Here is a 15503-nt window from a genome sequence, read left to right as displayed (position 1 = left end):
CATGGCTGGGTGCAGTGGCTCACGCCTGTAATCCAAGCACTTTGGGAGGCCGAGGCAGGCGGATTACCTAAGGTCAGGAATTTGAGACCAGCCTGGCCAACATGGTGAAACCCTGTCTCTACTAATAATAAAAAAGTAGACGGATGTGGCAGTGCGTGTCTGTAATCCCAGCTACTCAGGAGGCTGACGCAGGAGAATCTCTGGAAGCTGGGAGACAGAGGTTGCAGTGAGCCGAGATCATGCCACTACACTCCAGCCTGAGTGACAGAGCAAGATTCTATCTAAAAAAAAAAAAAAAAAAAAAATGGGTCTCACTGTGATGTCCAGGCAGGTCTTGGGCTCCTAGACTCAAGCAATTCTTCCCCCTTGGCCTCTCAAAATGTTGGGTGTGAGCCACCATGCCCAGCCATATTTCTTTCCTGTCACCATTACTACATCTCACAAGGCGGGTACTATTATCTCTATTTCACAGATGATACTACGGTTCAAAGAGGTGAAGGAATTTGTTCAAAATCACAGGACGAGCCAAAGGCAGACGGGATTTAAGCCCCAAAGCTCTTCCTCTCCTTCCTCTGCTTCTCTAAATTTGTTTTATTATATTCATGTGTATATGTATATATATGTATATATTTATGTAATTTCCCCTGCTTTGCATTTCTAAACTTCTTCCTGATTTTCCTGGAGCATCTGTGGTTAACAGTAATCAGAAACTTGGGTTCTAGCTGTTTCCCCTGAGGGTGTTTCTCCAATCTGAGACTGGATTCTTAAGGGATTTTAGAGTTTGTGTGTCTGTGTTTTTCGGTGTACCTCTTTCAAAATAATGTGTTTAGACAACATATTAGCATCTTTTAAAGGCTGGGAGTAAGGGACGAGGGCAGAAAACACTGCCAATCTAAAATTCCATACCCAGTGAAAACAGTTTTTGGCCAGGCCCAGTGGCTCACGACTGTAATCCCAGCACTTTGGGAGGCTGAGGCAGGAAGATTGCTTGAGCCCAGGAGTTTGAGACCAGCCTGGGCAACATGGCAAAACTCTGTCTCTACTGAAAATATTTTTTAAATTAGCCAGGCGTGGTGGCACGCGTCTGTGGTCCCAGCTACTCTGAAAGGCTGAGGTGGGAGGATTGCTGGAGCCCAGGAGGCTGAGGTTGCAGTGGGCTGAGGTTGCAATGAGCTGAGATCATACCAACCACTGCACTTCAGCCTGGGACAGAGTTAGACCCTGTCTCAAAAAAAAAAAAAAAGAAAAGAAGAAAGAAAAAAAAAAGGAAACAGGCTTTTAAAATGAAGGTAAAATAAGATTCTTCGGGCAGAAGAAAAATAATTCCATATGAAATAATGGAAATGCAAGGAAAAGGGCAAACATAAGTGAATATTGACTCTACAAAAGCAACAATGATAATAGTATGTGTAATTTAAAATATATGAAAAATGAGGCTGCGGCCGGGTGCGTTGGCTCACGCCTGTAATCCCAGCATTTTGGGAGGCTGAGATGGGCGAATCACGAGGCCAGGAGTTCGAGACCAGCCTGGCCAACCTGGTGAAACCCTGTCTCTACTAAAAATACAAAAAATAGCTGGGCATGGTGGCGGGCGTCTGTAATCCCAGCTACTCATAAGGCTGAGGCAGGAGAATTGTTTAAACCTGGGAGGCAGAGGTTGCAGTGAGCTGAGATCACGCCATCGCACTCTAGCCTGGGCAACAGAGCGAGTCTGCACCTGAAAAAAAAAAAAAAAAAAAAAAAAGGAAGCTGGGCGCAGTGGCTCACACCTGTAATCCCAGCACTTTGGGATGCTGAGGTGGGCGGATCACCTGAGGTCAGGAGTTCAACACTAGCTTGGCCAACATGATGAAACCCCATCTCTACTAAAAATAAAAAAATTAACTGGGCTTGATGGCGGGCACCTGTAGTCCCAGCTACTCTGGAGGCTGAGGCAAGAGAATCGCTTGAACCCGGGAGGCGGAGGTTATGGTGAGCTGAGATCACGCCACTACACTCCATCCTGGGCGACGGAGTGAGACCCTGTCTCAAAAAAAAAAAAAAAAAAAAAAGATGACAAAGAAAAGGTTGTGTAAAAATCCAACCATCAAAATACTCAAAACCAAATTTGTGATATTATAGCATAGGCGTCTTTGTTATTGCATTAAATAACAAGATCTGATGGTAAGTCTAATTTCTAAGTCATAGAAATGAGCATAAATGATACTTGGGAAATCTACTATTACTTTCATTTGATATTAAATACAAATTTGCATATACAACACACATAACATATGCACACACGGTTGCCCCACATTAGCAGAGACAAAATGAAATGGAATCTACTGCCTTTGAGAAATAGGACAAGATGCAATGGCTCACACCTATAATCCCGGCACATTGGGAGGCCAAAGCAGGTGGATCACTTGAGCCCAGGGGTTCAAGACTATTCTGGACAACATAATGAGACTCCAGTCTAAAAGAAACAAACAAACAAACAAACAAAACTCAAAAATAAATAAATAATTAAGAAAATAAATGTATCAGGTGTGGTGGCTCATGCCTGTGACGCCAGCACTTTGTGAGACTGAGGCAGGCTTGCTTGAGCCCAGAAGTTTGAGACCAGCCTGGGCCACATAGGAAGACCCTGTCTATAAAAAAAAAAAGTTTTTTAGGTAGCCAGGTGTGATGATGCATGCCTGTGGTCCCAGCTCCTTGGGAGGCTGAAGTGGCTGGATAGCTTGAGCCTAGGAGGTTGAGACTGCAGTGAGCTCTGTTTGCACCACTTCACTCCAGCCTGGGCAACAGAGTGAGACCCTGTCTCAAAAGAAAAAAAAAAAGAAGAAGAAGAAAAGAAAATTAATGGCAATGCAAAATGGAGGCTGGGCGCAATTGCTCATGCCTGTAATGCCAGCACTTTGGGAGGTTGAACTAGGCAGATCACTTGAGGTCAGGAGTTGGAGAACAGCTTGGCCAACATGGTGAAACCTCATCTCTGCTAAAAATACAAAAGTTAGCTGGGCATGGTGGCACATGCCAGTAGTACCACCTACTCAGGAGGCTGAGGCAGGAGAATCGCTTGAACCCAGGTTGCAGCGAGCTGAGTTCATGCCACTGCACTCCAGCCTGGGCAACAGACCAAGACTCATCTCAAAAAAAAAAAAAGTGGGATGCCTCCAGTACAGCAAGGACTCCATTTCCTTAAGGCTATTCCATTTAAAGTGTCTGCATAAAATCCTCATGGGGTCTCCAGGATTGCCCAGAAAGAGGGTAATATGACTCTTTTCTTGAAAAAATAGGTAACATTTAGTCCTCTATAATACAAGAAAAGAAAATTTTAAAAAATTTTTTTGGTTTTGGAGACAGAATTTCACTGTTACCCAGGCAGGAGTGCAGTGACACAATCACAGCTCATTGCAGCCTCCATCTCCCAGGCTCAAATGATCCTCCTGCCCCATTTTTAAATTTTTTTTGTAGGAATGGGGTATCACTATGTTGCTCAGGTGGCCTTGAACTCCTGGGCTCAAGAGATCCTCCTGCCTTGGCCTTTCCAAGTGCTGGGAATTACAGGCGTGAGCCACCATGCCTAGCCCCAAAAAAATAATTTTTAAAAAGTAGGAAGCAAAGGTTCTCATATGAGGTCACAGCTACTGAAAGAAGTAACCAATGAATCCACAGACCTCTCTCTTGCCTGTCCAATACCCCACGCAAGACAACTAGTCAGGCAGAGACTTATTAGCAGCTTATCAGCACGGAACTGGAAAGGACTGCCCATTATCTGGGTAATAGAAGAGATAAGTGTGTTTGGATGGGGAGGAGAATGTGTGTTTAAAGTACTGTTGTGTTGTCAATTCTGATTCTCCCAAACTATCAGAGTTGCCTAAGTGACCCTGTATCAGGTGCATCACCGAGAAATGCTAATTTCCAAAACAAGCCAAGTGGGAATGAATCACAAGCAATCCAACACATGGTAACGGAAGACAGGAATCCCTGAACTTAGCCCACTGGTTGTCTCGGGCGCTGGCGGTCAGAGATGTGACAATGAGGGCAGATGGTGAGGCTCCTTAGACAGCAGAGAAAGGGGTTTGGGATTTTTATGACTTGCAGAAAATGGGGAACCGCCAAAAGTTTTGTAGGAGAGGAGAAACCCACCGGGCACTGTGCTTCAAGGTCACAGAGTTCATCTCGGAGCAACAAACACTTTCTAGGGTTTGCTTCACATGGATCTTGTGCTAGGCACAGGCTTGAGGTGGCGAAAGAAAGATCGAGTTCCTGTTCCCAGAGAACAAACAATCCCCACAGTATGACAAATACAGTGATGGGGCCAGGCGGGGTGGCTCATGCCCATAACCCTAGCACTTTGGGAGGCAGAGGCAGGCAGATCACCTGAGGTCAGGAGTTCGAGACCAGCCTGGCCAACATGGTGAAACCCTGTCTCTACTAAAAATACAAAAATTAGCTGGGCATGGTGGCACGTGCCTGTAGTCCCAGCTATTTGGGAGGCTGAGGCAGGAGAATTGCTTGAATTCAGGAGTTGGAGGTTGCAGTGAGCCGAGATCAGGCCTCTGCACTCTAGCCTGGGTGACAGAGTGAGACTCTGTCTCAAAAAAAAAAAAAAAAAAAACCCAGATGGAAAGGAGCTCCAGGAGGGTTTTTTGGAGGAGGCAGACCTGACTGAAAGGCTGACAGGTAGGAGTGAGCCAGATAAAGAGGGGGCTGTGAAGGCACTTATAGCAATGGGAACATCTTTGGAGGGGAGGGAGAACAAATGTGAGTAGGATGGGGTGCTGGACACCTCTCATCTGACCCCCAGATCCACTCTGTACATTTCAGCACTTTGCTCTGTGCCCCAGGCAGTTGAACTTCATGGACTACATTCATGATAACCTTGACCTTGGTTTCTGGTCAGGTTCTGCCTGTGGAAGACACTGGCAGGAGATGGGAGGTGAGGAGAAAGGCTGGTATGTATATCCCCTGCTCTCCCTCTCTCCTTCCTCTTGACCCTTCAAGCCAGGGGGAGTGGATGAGGTGCCCTCTGTTATCAGTCTCAAAGTACTGCTTTTTGGTTTTCCCAAACCCTACTAACCCTCCATAAAAGTTGCTTTATTAAATACCCCCAAAGGTATCCTCTGTACCCTGCTGGGACCATGACTGATACAGCAGCATGGAGGAGGTTTTTCATTATCCAAATACAATATGAGGCGCGGTGGCTCACACCTGTAATCCCAGCACTTTGGGAGGCCAAGGCAGGCAGATCACTTGAGGTCAGGAGTTCAAGACCAGCCTGGTGAACATAGTGAAACCCCGTCTCTGCTAAAGATACAAAAACATTAGCCAGGTGTGGTGGCGGCCCCTGTAATCCCAGCTACTAGGGAGGCTGAGGCATAAGAATTGCTTGAACCTGGGAGACGGAGGTTGCAGTGAACCGAGATTGCGCCACTGCACTCCAGCCTGGGCAACAGAGCGACTCAGTCTAAAAACAAAACAAAACAAGAACAAAACAAATACAACATGACAGTCTCCTAAACTAGGAGAGGAGTGGGAAGATTACCTTGTGAATGTACAGCACTCTACAGCAACAAAGGCTTTTCTCAGCATGGACTTATCCACAGCTCCCAACTACCCCAGGTCAGAGGCCACCAATTCCATCTCACAGATGTGCAGCAGCAGAGGCCTGGAGAGTATGTGGAGACTTGGCCAAGAGACATGACCTGTCAGTGAGAGACCCAGAGCCCACAGCCTGATTTTTTCAGTTGCTAATCCATTCCCTTTCTACCAGTGCAGCTCTAAGTGGGCCTGGAATGGTGGAAGAAATTCAAAGAGGCCTTCCAGGTGCGTGCACACATACATGTACATGTCTTCCACAGGAATCAGTGAGTCATTCAACAAACATTTATTGAGCTCTGACTGGATTTACAGACCTGTCTTAGAAACTGAGGGATGAAAGAGATTAGATATGGGGAAAAGGAGAATGAGTCAGAAGGAGGGGTGGAAGCACAGGGTGGTAGAAGAAAACACTGGCCCCGCAGTCCGGCAGTCCTGGTTCCCAGGCCCAGTCTATGAAATGTGTCTCTGAGATCTTCCATCGACTGAACCTGGAGAGATCAGCCATTTCTGGTTTTGAACAAAGAAGTCAAGTCAATTTCAGATGCAGCTGCAAGCTGAAATTCCTCCAACAGCTCTAGACTTCTGGGCATGACACACAACACCCTTTATCAACTGGCCTTCTCTCATCTCTCCAGCCTTGATTGCCGGAGGCTCTCTGCCTCCCATCCTTCTACCCTGACATTAGAAGCTACCCACAGCTTCCCATAAGCCACACTTGCTCTCACCTCCAAGACTTTGCACTAGCTATTCCTTGTGCCTGGAAGGCTTTTTCTCACACTTAGCTCTACAGTTGACCCTTGAACAACACAGGAGTTACAAGTGCCAACCTCTCCCACAACCCCACATAGTCAAAAATCCACAAAAATTCTGACTCCCTCAAAACTTAATTACTAATAGCCTACTGTTGGCCAGAAGCCTTTCTGATAACATAGTTGATTAACACATATTTTGTAGGTTATGTGCATTATATACTGTATTCTTACAATAAAGTTAGAAAAACAATTATCTATCTATCCACCCACCCACTGGGTGGCATGAGCCACTGGGGATGGTGGCTCATGCCTACAATCCCAGCAATTTTGGAGGCCAAGGTGGGCAGATCCCTTGAGTCCAGGAGTTCAAAACCAGCTTGGGTAACACAGCGAGACCCTGTCACTACAAAAATTACAAAATTAGTCAAGCACGGTGCCATATGTTTCTAATCCCAGCTACTCAGGAGGCTGAGGTAGGATGATCGAATCACTTGAGCCCAGGAGATGGAGACTGCAGTGAGCCATGATCACACCACAGCACTCCAGCCTGGGTGACAGAGCAAAACCCTGTTTGGAAAAAAAATAAATAAATAAGAGAAAAAATATACCTACTATTCATTAAGTGAAAATGTATCATCATAAAGGTCTTCATCCTTGTGATTTTCACATTGAATAGGCTGAGGAGGAGGAGGAAGCAGGGGCTTGGTCTTGCTGTCTCAGAGGTGGCAGAGGCAGAAGAAAATCCTCCTATAAGTAGACCTGCACAGTTCAGTGCTGTGTTATTCAAGAATCAACTGTAATTTCTTCACCTGTAAAACGCTTACTCAAACTTCAAGATTCAATTCAGGCTAATTACTGTATCCTCAGTAATACCCGCACAGAGAAAGCCCCCAAATCTTGGCAAATAATGATTCAACTGATTAAGTAATCATAAAATAGCTACCATGTAGTGAGTCCATGTCCATGGGATAACAATAAAAATATCAAACAAGCTCTTTGGGGACTAGGAACTTGAATGTAGCTGAAGAGTGAGTGAGCAGGGAGATGATTAGATGGATGAGTAAACAGATAGATAAAAACGAATGGATGGCCTAGCGCAGTGGCTCACACCTATAATCCCAGCACTTTGGGAGGCCGAGGCAGGTGGATCACTTGAGGTCAGGAGTTTGAGACCACCCTGGCCAACATGGTGAAACCCCATCTCTACTAAAAAGACAAAAATTAGCTGGGTGCGGTGGCATGTGCCTATAATCCCAGCTACTCAGGAGGCTGAAGCACAAGAATCATTTGAACCAGGGAGGCGGAGGTTGCAGTGAGCCAAGATTGTGCCACTGCACTCCAGCCTGGGTGACAGAGTGAGACTCTGTGTCACAAAAAAAAAAAAAAAAAAAATGGATGGATGGAGAAATAGATGGATTGAAAATGAGTGTGTGACAGTTGGCAGATGAATGGGGAATTAAATGGATGGATGACTTCATGAACAAATGGTTGAATGGATGGGATTACTTGCTTGCATTGATCAAAACAGACTTGACCTAATCTCAAAGTGGTAAGAAAGGAGAGGAATCTAGCTGGTGAGATTGGAACTGTGGAGCTTAAAAAAACGTTGAGAATCTTACTAGCAAACATAAGGTCTGCTTGTGAACAAGTTACTATCATCACAAAGCTCTGAATAAGTTCCAATCTGCTATTCCAGGCGAAGTCCGGAGGATGATGCCAGCCATGAGAGTCTGATCAACTGGACTGACTGATCAACAGAACTTAACTTGCTGGAAGTCTATTGGAGTTAGGTCAGATATAGAACCTTAAGGCTTTGGGATCTGACAAAAACATCTGTATTTGTGATTCTTATGACAAGACGGCAATGCACAAATCGATGTGAGAAGACAGGAGGGGTGCATGAACTGCTAACTCCTCTTACTGTCAGAACTTCAAAGTGCAGGTTTTGCACAAACCAGCCTGCCTCCCCAGGACCTCTCAGCACACTTTCATTATGATGGACTTTCTTGAATCTCAAAGTATTCTGACAGCTGTGTCCCAGACCGCATTGCTCCTTGGAAACTTGAACTTCACATTAACCCCATCTCCTCTGTTACCCCACAATCTCCCTTTACCTCCCCTCATAGAGGGTGCTCATGGCTTGCAAATCCGTAGCTTCCAGAGGGCTGGGGAGAGCACTCTGATGACCAGACCAATGCTGCTTCACCCAGGAAAAGCCCTATTGTAAGTTATGACTAGGGTAGGGATGGATTTCCTTTGGAGCCAAAGATGAAGCATTAGCAAGAGTCTGCTTTCAATGAGAGTCTGCAGTGTAAGGGAATTTTTTTCTTTTTCTTTTTTTTAATTACAGAACTTACTTTTCTTTTAAAAAAGAATTCAGAGCTAGCACAGGAAAACAGTGAGGTTTCAAAAGTACTTCAGCCTTGACAAAGCCCTTCACATAGTTTTGATTTTTGTTTGTTTTTTGATATGCAGTTTTACTCTGCCTCCCAGGCTGAAGTGCAGTGGCGCAATCTCAGCTCACTGCAACCTCTGCCTCCCGGGTTCAAGGGATTCTTGTGCCTCAACCTCCCGAGTATCTGGGATTACAGCGCGTGCCACCACACTTGGCTAAATTTTGTATTTTTAGTAGAAACGGGGTTTCGCCATGTTGGCCAGACTGGTCTCGAACTCCTGACCTCAAGTGATCCACCCGCCTTGGTCTCCCAAAATGCTGAGATTACAGGCATGAGCCACCGTGCCTGGCCTTAGTTTTCTTTTTGAGCTCCACAAGACCCTTCTAAGAAGGGTTTCTACTTTGGCTGCACAATAGAATCACCTGGAGAGTTTTTAGAACTCTTGATTTCTAAAGCCGGATCCCAGAACAATTACATAAGAATCATGGGGATGAAGTGGGTCTGAGCCCCAGGTGATTCCAATATCAGCCCAGGTAAAAACAAGTGCTCCAAGGTCTTAGCCTCATTTTGCCAAGGCAGGAGGCTCCAGAGGGGTGAAATAAGTTGGCCCCAGATCTCAAGCTTGTGAAAGTGAATTTCAAAACCAGGTCCTCTCTTCACTCTCTGTGTTCTTCCAGATGTGGCTCTTATGGCCACTGTAAAAAGTAGTAACTAATATGTACAGTTGTTCCCTAGTATCTGAGAGGAATACATTTCAAGATCCCCAGTGGATGCCTGAAACCACGGATAGTACCTTATATAAAACCATGATTTTTCTTTTTAAAAAAATGTTTGCTGGGCAAGATGGCTCACGCCTGTAATCCCAACACTTTGGGAAGCTGAGGCAGGAGGACTGCTTGAGCCCAGGAGTTCAAGACCAGTCTGGGCAACACAGGGAGACCCTGTCTATATAAAAAGTTAAAAAATTAGCTGGGTGTGGTAGCTTATGCCTGTAGTCCCAGTTACTTGGGAGGCCAAGGTGGGAGGATCACTTGAGCCTGGGAGGTCAAGGCTGAAGTGGGCCATGATCACACCACTGCACTCCAGCTTGAGTGACAGAATGAGACCGTTTCAAAAAAAAAAAAATAGAGATAGGGTCTGTGTCATCCTGGCTGGAGTGCAGTGGCATGATCAGAGCTCACTATAACCTCAAATTCCTGGGCTAAACATTTCTCCTGCCTCAGCCTTCTAAGTAGCTAGAACCACAGGTGTGTGCTGCCATGCCCAGATAATTTTTTTTTTTTATAGACACGGGGTTTTGCTATATTGCCCAGGCTGATCTTGAACTCCGGGGCTCAAGTAGTCCTCCTGCCTTGGCCTCCCAAAGTGCTGCGATTACACACATCAGCCACTGTGTGGGCCCTATACTATGGCTTTTTGATCTGAAACCTCTATTATTATACCCATTTTACTAATACAGACCCAAAGCTCAGGGCAGTAAACACACCTAGGAATTGTTGGGGTTTGAACTCTGGTTTGTCTGAAAATATAGTCTATGTTCTTCATCATCATGCTGTACCTTCTCAATTTTTTTTTTTTTTTTTGAGACGGAGTCTTCCTCTGTGGTAGGCTGGAGTACAGTGGCCTGATCTCAGCTCACTGCAACCTCCGCCTCCTGGGTTCCAGTGATTCCCCAGTCTCAACCTCTAGAGTAGCTGGGATTACAGGCAACTACCAGCACATCCGGCTAATTTTTGTATGTTTTTTTTTTTAGTAGAGATGGGGTTTCGCCATGTTGGCCAGGCTGGTCTTGAACTCCTGACCTCAGGTGATCCACCTGCCTCGGCCTCCCAAAGTACTGGGATTACAGGCATGAGCCATGGCGCCCGGCCTCCTCAAATATTTTTGAATATCTGATAACATCCCTGTAACTTGATCATGTGTTCAGGCAATGAGTCTAAGAAGAGAATATTTAATCAAAAACAATTTTTTTTTTTAATTTTTAGAGATAAAGTTTCACTATGCTGCTCAAACTGGTCTTGAACTCCTGGCCTCCAGCAATCCTCTCATCTTAGCCTCCCAAAATGCTGGGATTACAGAGAAGAGAACATTTAAATATGACTTGTTTTTTTCACCTTCATCATTCCTTAGACAGCTTCTTCCATCTAGAAGTGGAAGAGCAGTATAGAGAAGAGGATATAGTTGTATATAATTTGTCATAAGTATATGACGTATAAGTTATTATTTATACTTATGGTATATATATATGTATCATAAACCACTGGACTCCTCATTCCATCATACATTCCTCTTCCCTTCCAAACATACCAAGCAATTTTTCACACTTATTATGTCATTTAATAGACATAATAGGCCTATAAAGTAGTTTCTAAAATGTCTGTTTCCCAGGTGAAGAAACTCAGCCCTAGAGGACCAAATGATACAACTAATGTCATCAGTGACGGAGCCTGGATGGCCTCAAGCCAATCTGCCTCCAGAGCTCAAGAGCTGAGATATGCCTTTCTCCCTGCACAACCGTGACCTTACACCCTCAACCTGTCATCAGAACTAAGGAAATTCTGTTTTAACCAGGAGAAACAATTATTTGGGTATAGGTTAAATGCATAATTATACATGTATTTTGAGTAGAAGTAGATGGTTTAGAGGTACAAAGATCAAGAATATTTTGGCATAGAGATGAACCAAAAGTTGAGCCTTCTACACTGGCTGATGTCAGCTGAAAGCTGAGCCTAAGGGGATAAAAGGAAGGAAAGACCTACACCTCAATGGCAACTTTTTTTTTTTTTTAAAGAAACAGAGTCTTGCTCTGTCACCCAGACTGGAGTGCAGTGGTTCAATCTTGGCTCACTGCAACCTCCGCCTCCCGGGTTCAGGTGAGTCTCCTGCCTCTCTGCCTCCCAAGTAGCTGGGATTACAGGAGTGCACCACCACACCCTGTTAAGTTTTGTATTTTTAGTAGAGATGGAGTTTCACCATGTTGGCCAGGCTGGTCTCAAACTCCTGACCTCAGGTGATCCACCTGCCTCAGCCTCCCAAAGTGCTGGGATTATAGGCATAAGCCACCACACCCGGCTTAATATTTTATAAACAACAAAAAAAGTTCCTTTGCTTGAATCCAAACATAGTTTTGAGACCATGCGTGGTGGCTCATACCTATAGTCCCACTTTGGGAAGCTGATAGGAAGATCACTTGAGGCCAGGAGCTGGGGACCAGCCTGGGCAACATGGCGAGACCCTGTCTCTACAAAAAGTTAAAAAATTAGCCAGGTGTGGTGTCATGTGCCTGTAGTCCTAGCTATCTGGGATGCTGAAGTGGGAGGATCACGTGGGGGTCGAGGCTGCAGTGAGCCATGATGGCACCACTGCACTCCAGCTTGGGCAACAGAGTAAGACCCTGTCTCAAAAAACAAAGAAATATGGCCAGGTGTGGTGGCTCACGCCTGTAATTCCAGCACTTAGGGAGGCCGAGGGCAATCGGATCACTTGAGGCCAGGAGTTCCATGGCCCATCCTGTTCCATGCCTCATGCAGCTGCATCTATCTGCAATGCCTTTTTTATTTTTTTTTTGTCTCGCTCTATCGCCCAGGCTGGAGTGCAGTGGTGTGATCTCGGCTCACTGCAAGCTCCGCCTCCCGGGTTCACACCATTCTCCTGCCTCAGCCTCCCGAGTAGCTGGGTCTACAGGCACCCACCACCATGCCCAGCTAAATTTTTGTATTTTTAGTGGAGACGGGGTTTCACTGTGTTAGCCAGGATGGTCTCAATCTCCTGACCTGGTGATCCGCCTGCCTCAGCCTCCCAAAGTGCTGGGATTACAGGCGTGAGCCACCGTGCCCGGCCTCTACCTGCAATGCCTTTCTTCCCTCCTCAGCCTCCAATGAGCCTGCTCAAAAGTCAGCTCTGGTCACACGGGAATCCCATCCCAAAACCAGAGTGCATCTTTTACCCCTCGCTCTCACAACACATATGGGTTGAGTATCCCTCATTTGAAATGCTTGAGACCAGAAGTGTTTTGGATTTAAGATTTGGGAATATTTGCATACACATAATGAGATATCTTGGGGATGAGACCCAAGTCTAAACACAAAATTCATTTATGTTTCATATACACCTTATACACATAGCCTATGGCAATTCTATACAAAATTTTTAACAATTTTGTGCAAGAAATAGTTTTGACTGCGACCTATCATATTAGGTCAGGTGTGGAATTTTCCACTTGTGGTGTTACGATGGCACTCAAAAAGTTTCTGATCTTGGCCAGGCATGGTCGCTCACACCTGTAATCCTAGCACTTCGGGAGGCCAAGACGGGTGGATCACCTGAGGTCAGGAGCTCGAGACCAGCCAGGCCAACGTGGCAAAACCCCATCTCTACGAAAAATACAAAAATTACAGGTGGCGCATGCCTGTAATCCCAGCTACTCAGGAGGCTGAGGCAGGAGAATTGCATGAATCCAGGAGGAAGAGGTTGCAGTGAGCTGAGATTGTGCCACTGCCCTGTACCCTGGGCGACAGAGCGAGCCTCCATCTCAAAAAAAAAAAAAAAAAAGTTTCAGATTTTGAATTTTTGAATTAAGGATGCTCAAATTATACTATATTTTATTGAGATCACTGCTTTCCACCTCCCCCAGTATGCTTGGCATTTTCAGGGCAGAGATTTATATCTTACTGTTTATGTATCCCAAGCATCTGGCATGGTACCTCCTACATACGGAGTGACATCAGAATTTTGAAGAATATGGCCAGCACAGTGGCTCACACCTGCAAACCCAGCACTTTGGGAGGCTGAGGCAGGCAGATCACCTGAGGTCAGGAGTTCGAGACCAGCCTGGCCAACATAGTGAAATTTCATCTCTACTAAAAATGCAAAAATTGGCCGGGCATGGTGGCGGGTGCCTGTAATCCCAACTACTCAGGAGGCTAAGGCAGGAGAATCACTTGAACCCAGGAGGCAGAGGTTGCAGTGAGCTGAGATCGGGCCACTACACTCCAGCCTGGGTGACAGAGCAAGACTCCATCTCCAAAAAAAAAAAAAAAAAAAAAAGTTTTAAGAATAAATGAATGTTGTCCACACCTCAATTCTTAAAAGCTTATACTTATGTGTAGCCTCTGCCTATAAGAATTAAGCCTGGGTGTGGTGGCTCACTCCTGTAATGCCAGTACTTTGGGAGGCCAAAGTGGGAGGATTGCTTGAGGCCAGGAGTATGTGACCAGCCTGGGTAATATAGTGAGACCCTGTCTCTACAAAAGAAAACAACAATAATGATAAAATAATACAGATTTTTTTCAAGAAAGTTAATGTTTGTAATGGGTCCCTTAATTTGCACAGAACTTCAAATTAAATTATTCCAATCTTTGGAGTGACCCTCAGGGTATTATTATGACCTTTCCCAGATGAGAGAAACAATAGCCAAAAGTTACACTGTCAAAACTGGTGGAACTGGGATCCTGGCATTTTGGCCCTCCCTTCTCCACTGCAATGCCAGCCCCCGAGATGGCATGTACAAATCTACGTTATCTGTTATTTTTCACATGCTGCCAGCATGTCACAAATCCAGTCTAAATAAAATGTACAACTTCCTCTTGCTACCACAGCTCACCCTCCAGCTAGGATTTCTAATTTGCTGTCACCAACAGTATCCATTCCTGGACTGTGCTCATGCCTTTTCCATAAACCAGGACCATCTCTGGGAATCTGCTCTCCTTCTACCCAAGCCCAAAGCAAGTCTTGGGAAGGGGAAGGTCACAAATCCACCTGTTAGAGAAGGGAGTTTCTAGTTCAAAAAAAGTTCTTCCTCTACATCTCTAGGCATAAGAACCCTATTCCAGTCTCAAGCTACCTCCAAGAAAAGTGGCTCATCCAATTGGCCCTGTTAATTATGCCCAGGAGATGATCCTGGAATTGTGTTTGTGAACATTAAAATCCTAATGAAACGCACTAGGAAGCTTGGCATTTAAAGGATTCCTGCTAGCAATGAGTAAGCCACAGTGAAGATTCCTTCTGGAAGGGGAGTAACTGACCCCAGAGTAATTGTCCTGTTCATCTTATTGATACCTAATGGGTTGACTTAAAGAAGCGCTCACCAGCTCCTACTTCCGGGCCTGGAATTCTTGGAAATGTGGTCTTTCCGGGCTCCCCAATGCTTGGCATTGGAGCCTCGTTTCCTCATTCTGCTTCCCTTTCCTCCTGAAACTGTTTATAGACCTGAGGTCCCGCTTGTGAGCTGAGGAAGGGCTGAGGGCCCTCAGTGAGTTGTCCACCTTTGGGAAAACGAAGACACAGGGTGAGCAAAGCAATGTGCTAAATGACAAATAGTTAAAGATTTGTCTAGATTTCACAATGGCTCTGTGTCTTATATCACTTTCATTTTTATGTCGGAAACAGGATTCAGTGCCTCTTACTCACGGTTGCATCATTGATGACAGAGAGACATTGTGTTTCTTGGCAGAGGCTGGCCCTTACAGATGAACTGGGGAGAGGGGGCTCATGCTGGGCCTGAAACGTACTTTAGGAAGCCTTTTTCTCTCCCCTGTTGGAGACACTTCCTCACATTTCTCTCAACAATGGGTTCTAAGCCCCTCCACCCCTTCCTCAAACTAACAGCCTCATGCACCCCAAACAGGCTCATTCACCCTGAGCAAAGAAGACCCCATCCTACAGTCCCAGTGTTCCTCATCCACACTTCTGGGCCTGCCTCCCTTCTTCCTTTCACCTAAGTCTGCCACCTCCCCATCCATCTGCCCAGGAGCATCACACTAACCAACAA

The sequence above is a fragment of the Homo sapiens genome, chromosome 9 (assembly GCF_000001405.40).
Source record: "Homo sapiens chromosome 9, GRCh38.p14 Primary Assembly".
In the NCBI taxonomy this organism is placed as follows: domain Eukaryota; kingdom Metazoa; phylum Chordata; class Mammalia; order Primates; family Hominidae; genus Homo; species Homo sapiens.
The sequence above is the reverse complement of the archived record's forward strand: the minus strand, read 5'-3'. Positions refer to the sequence as shown.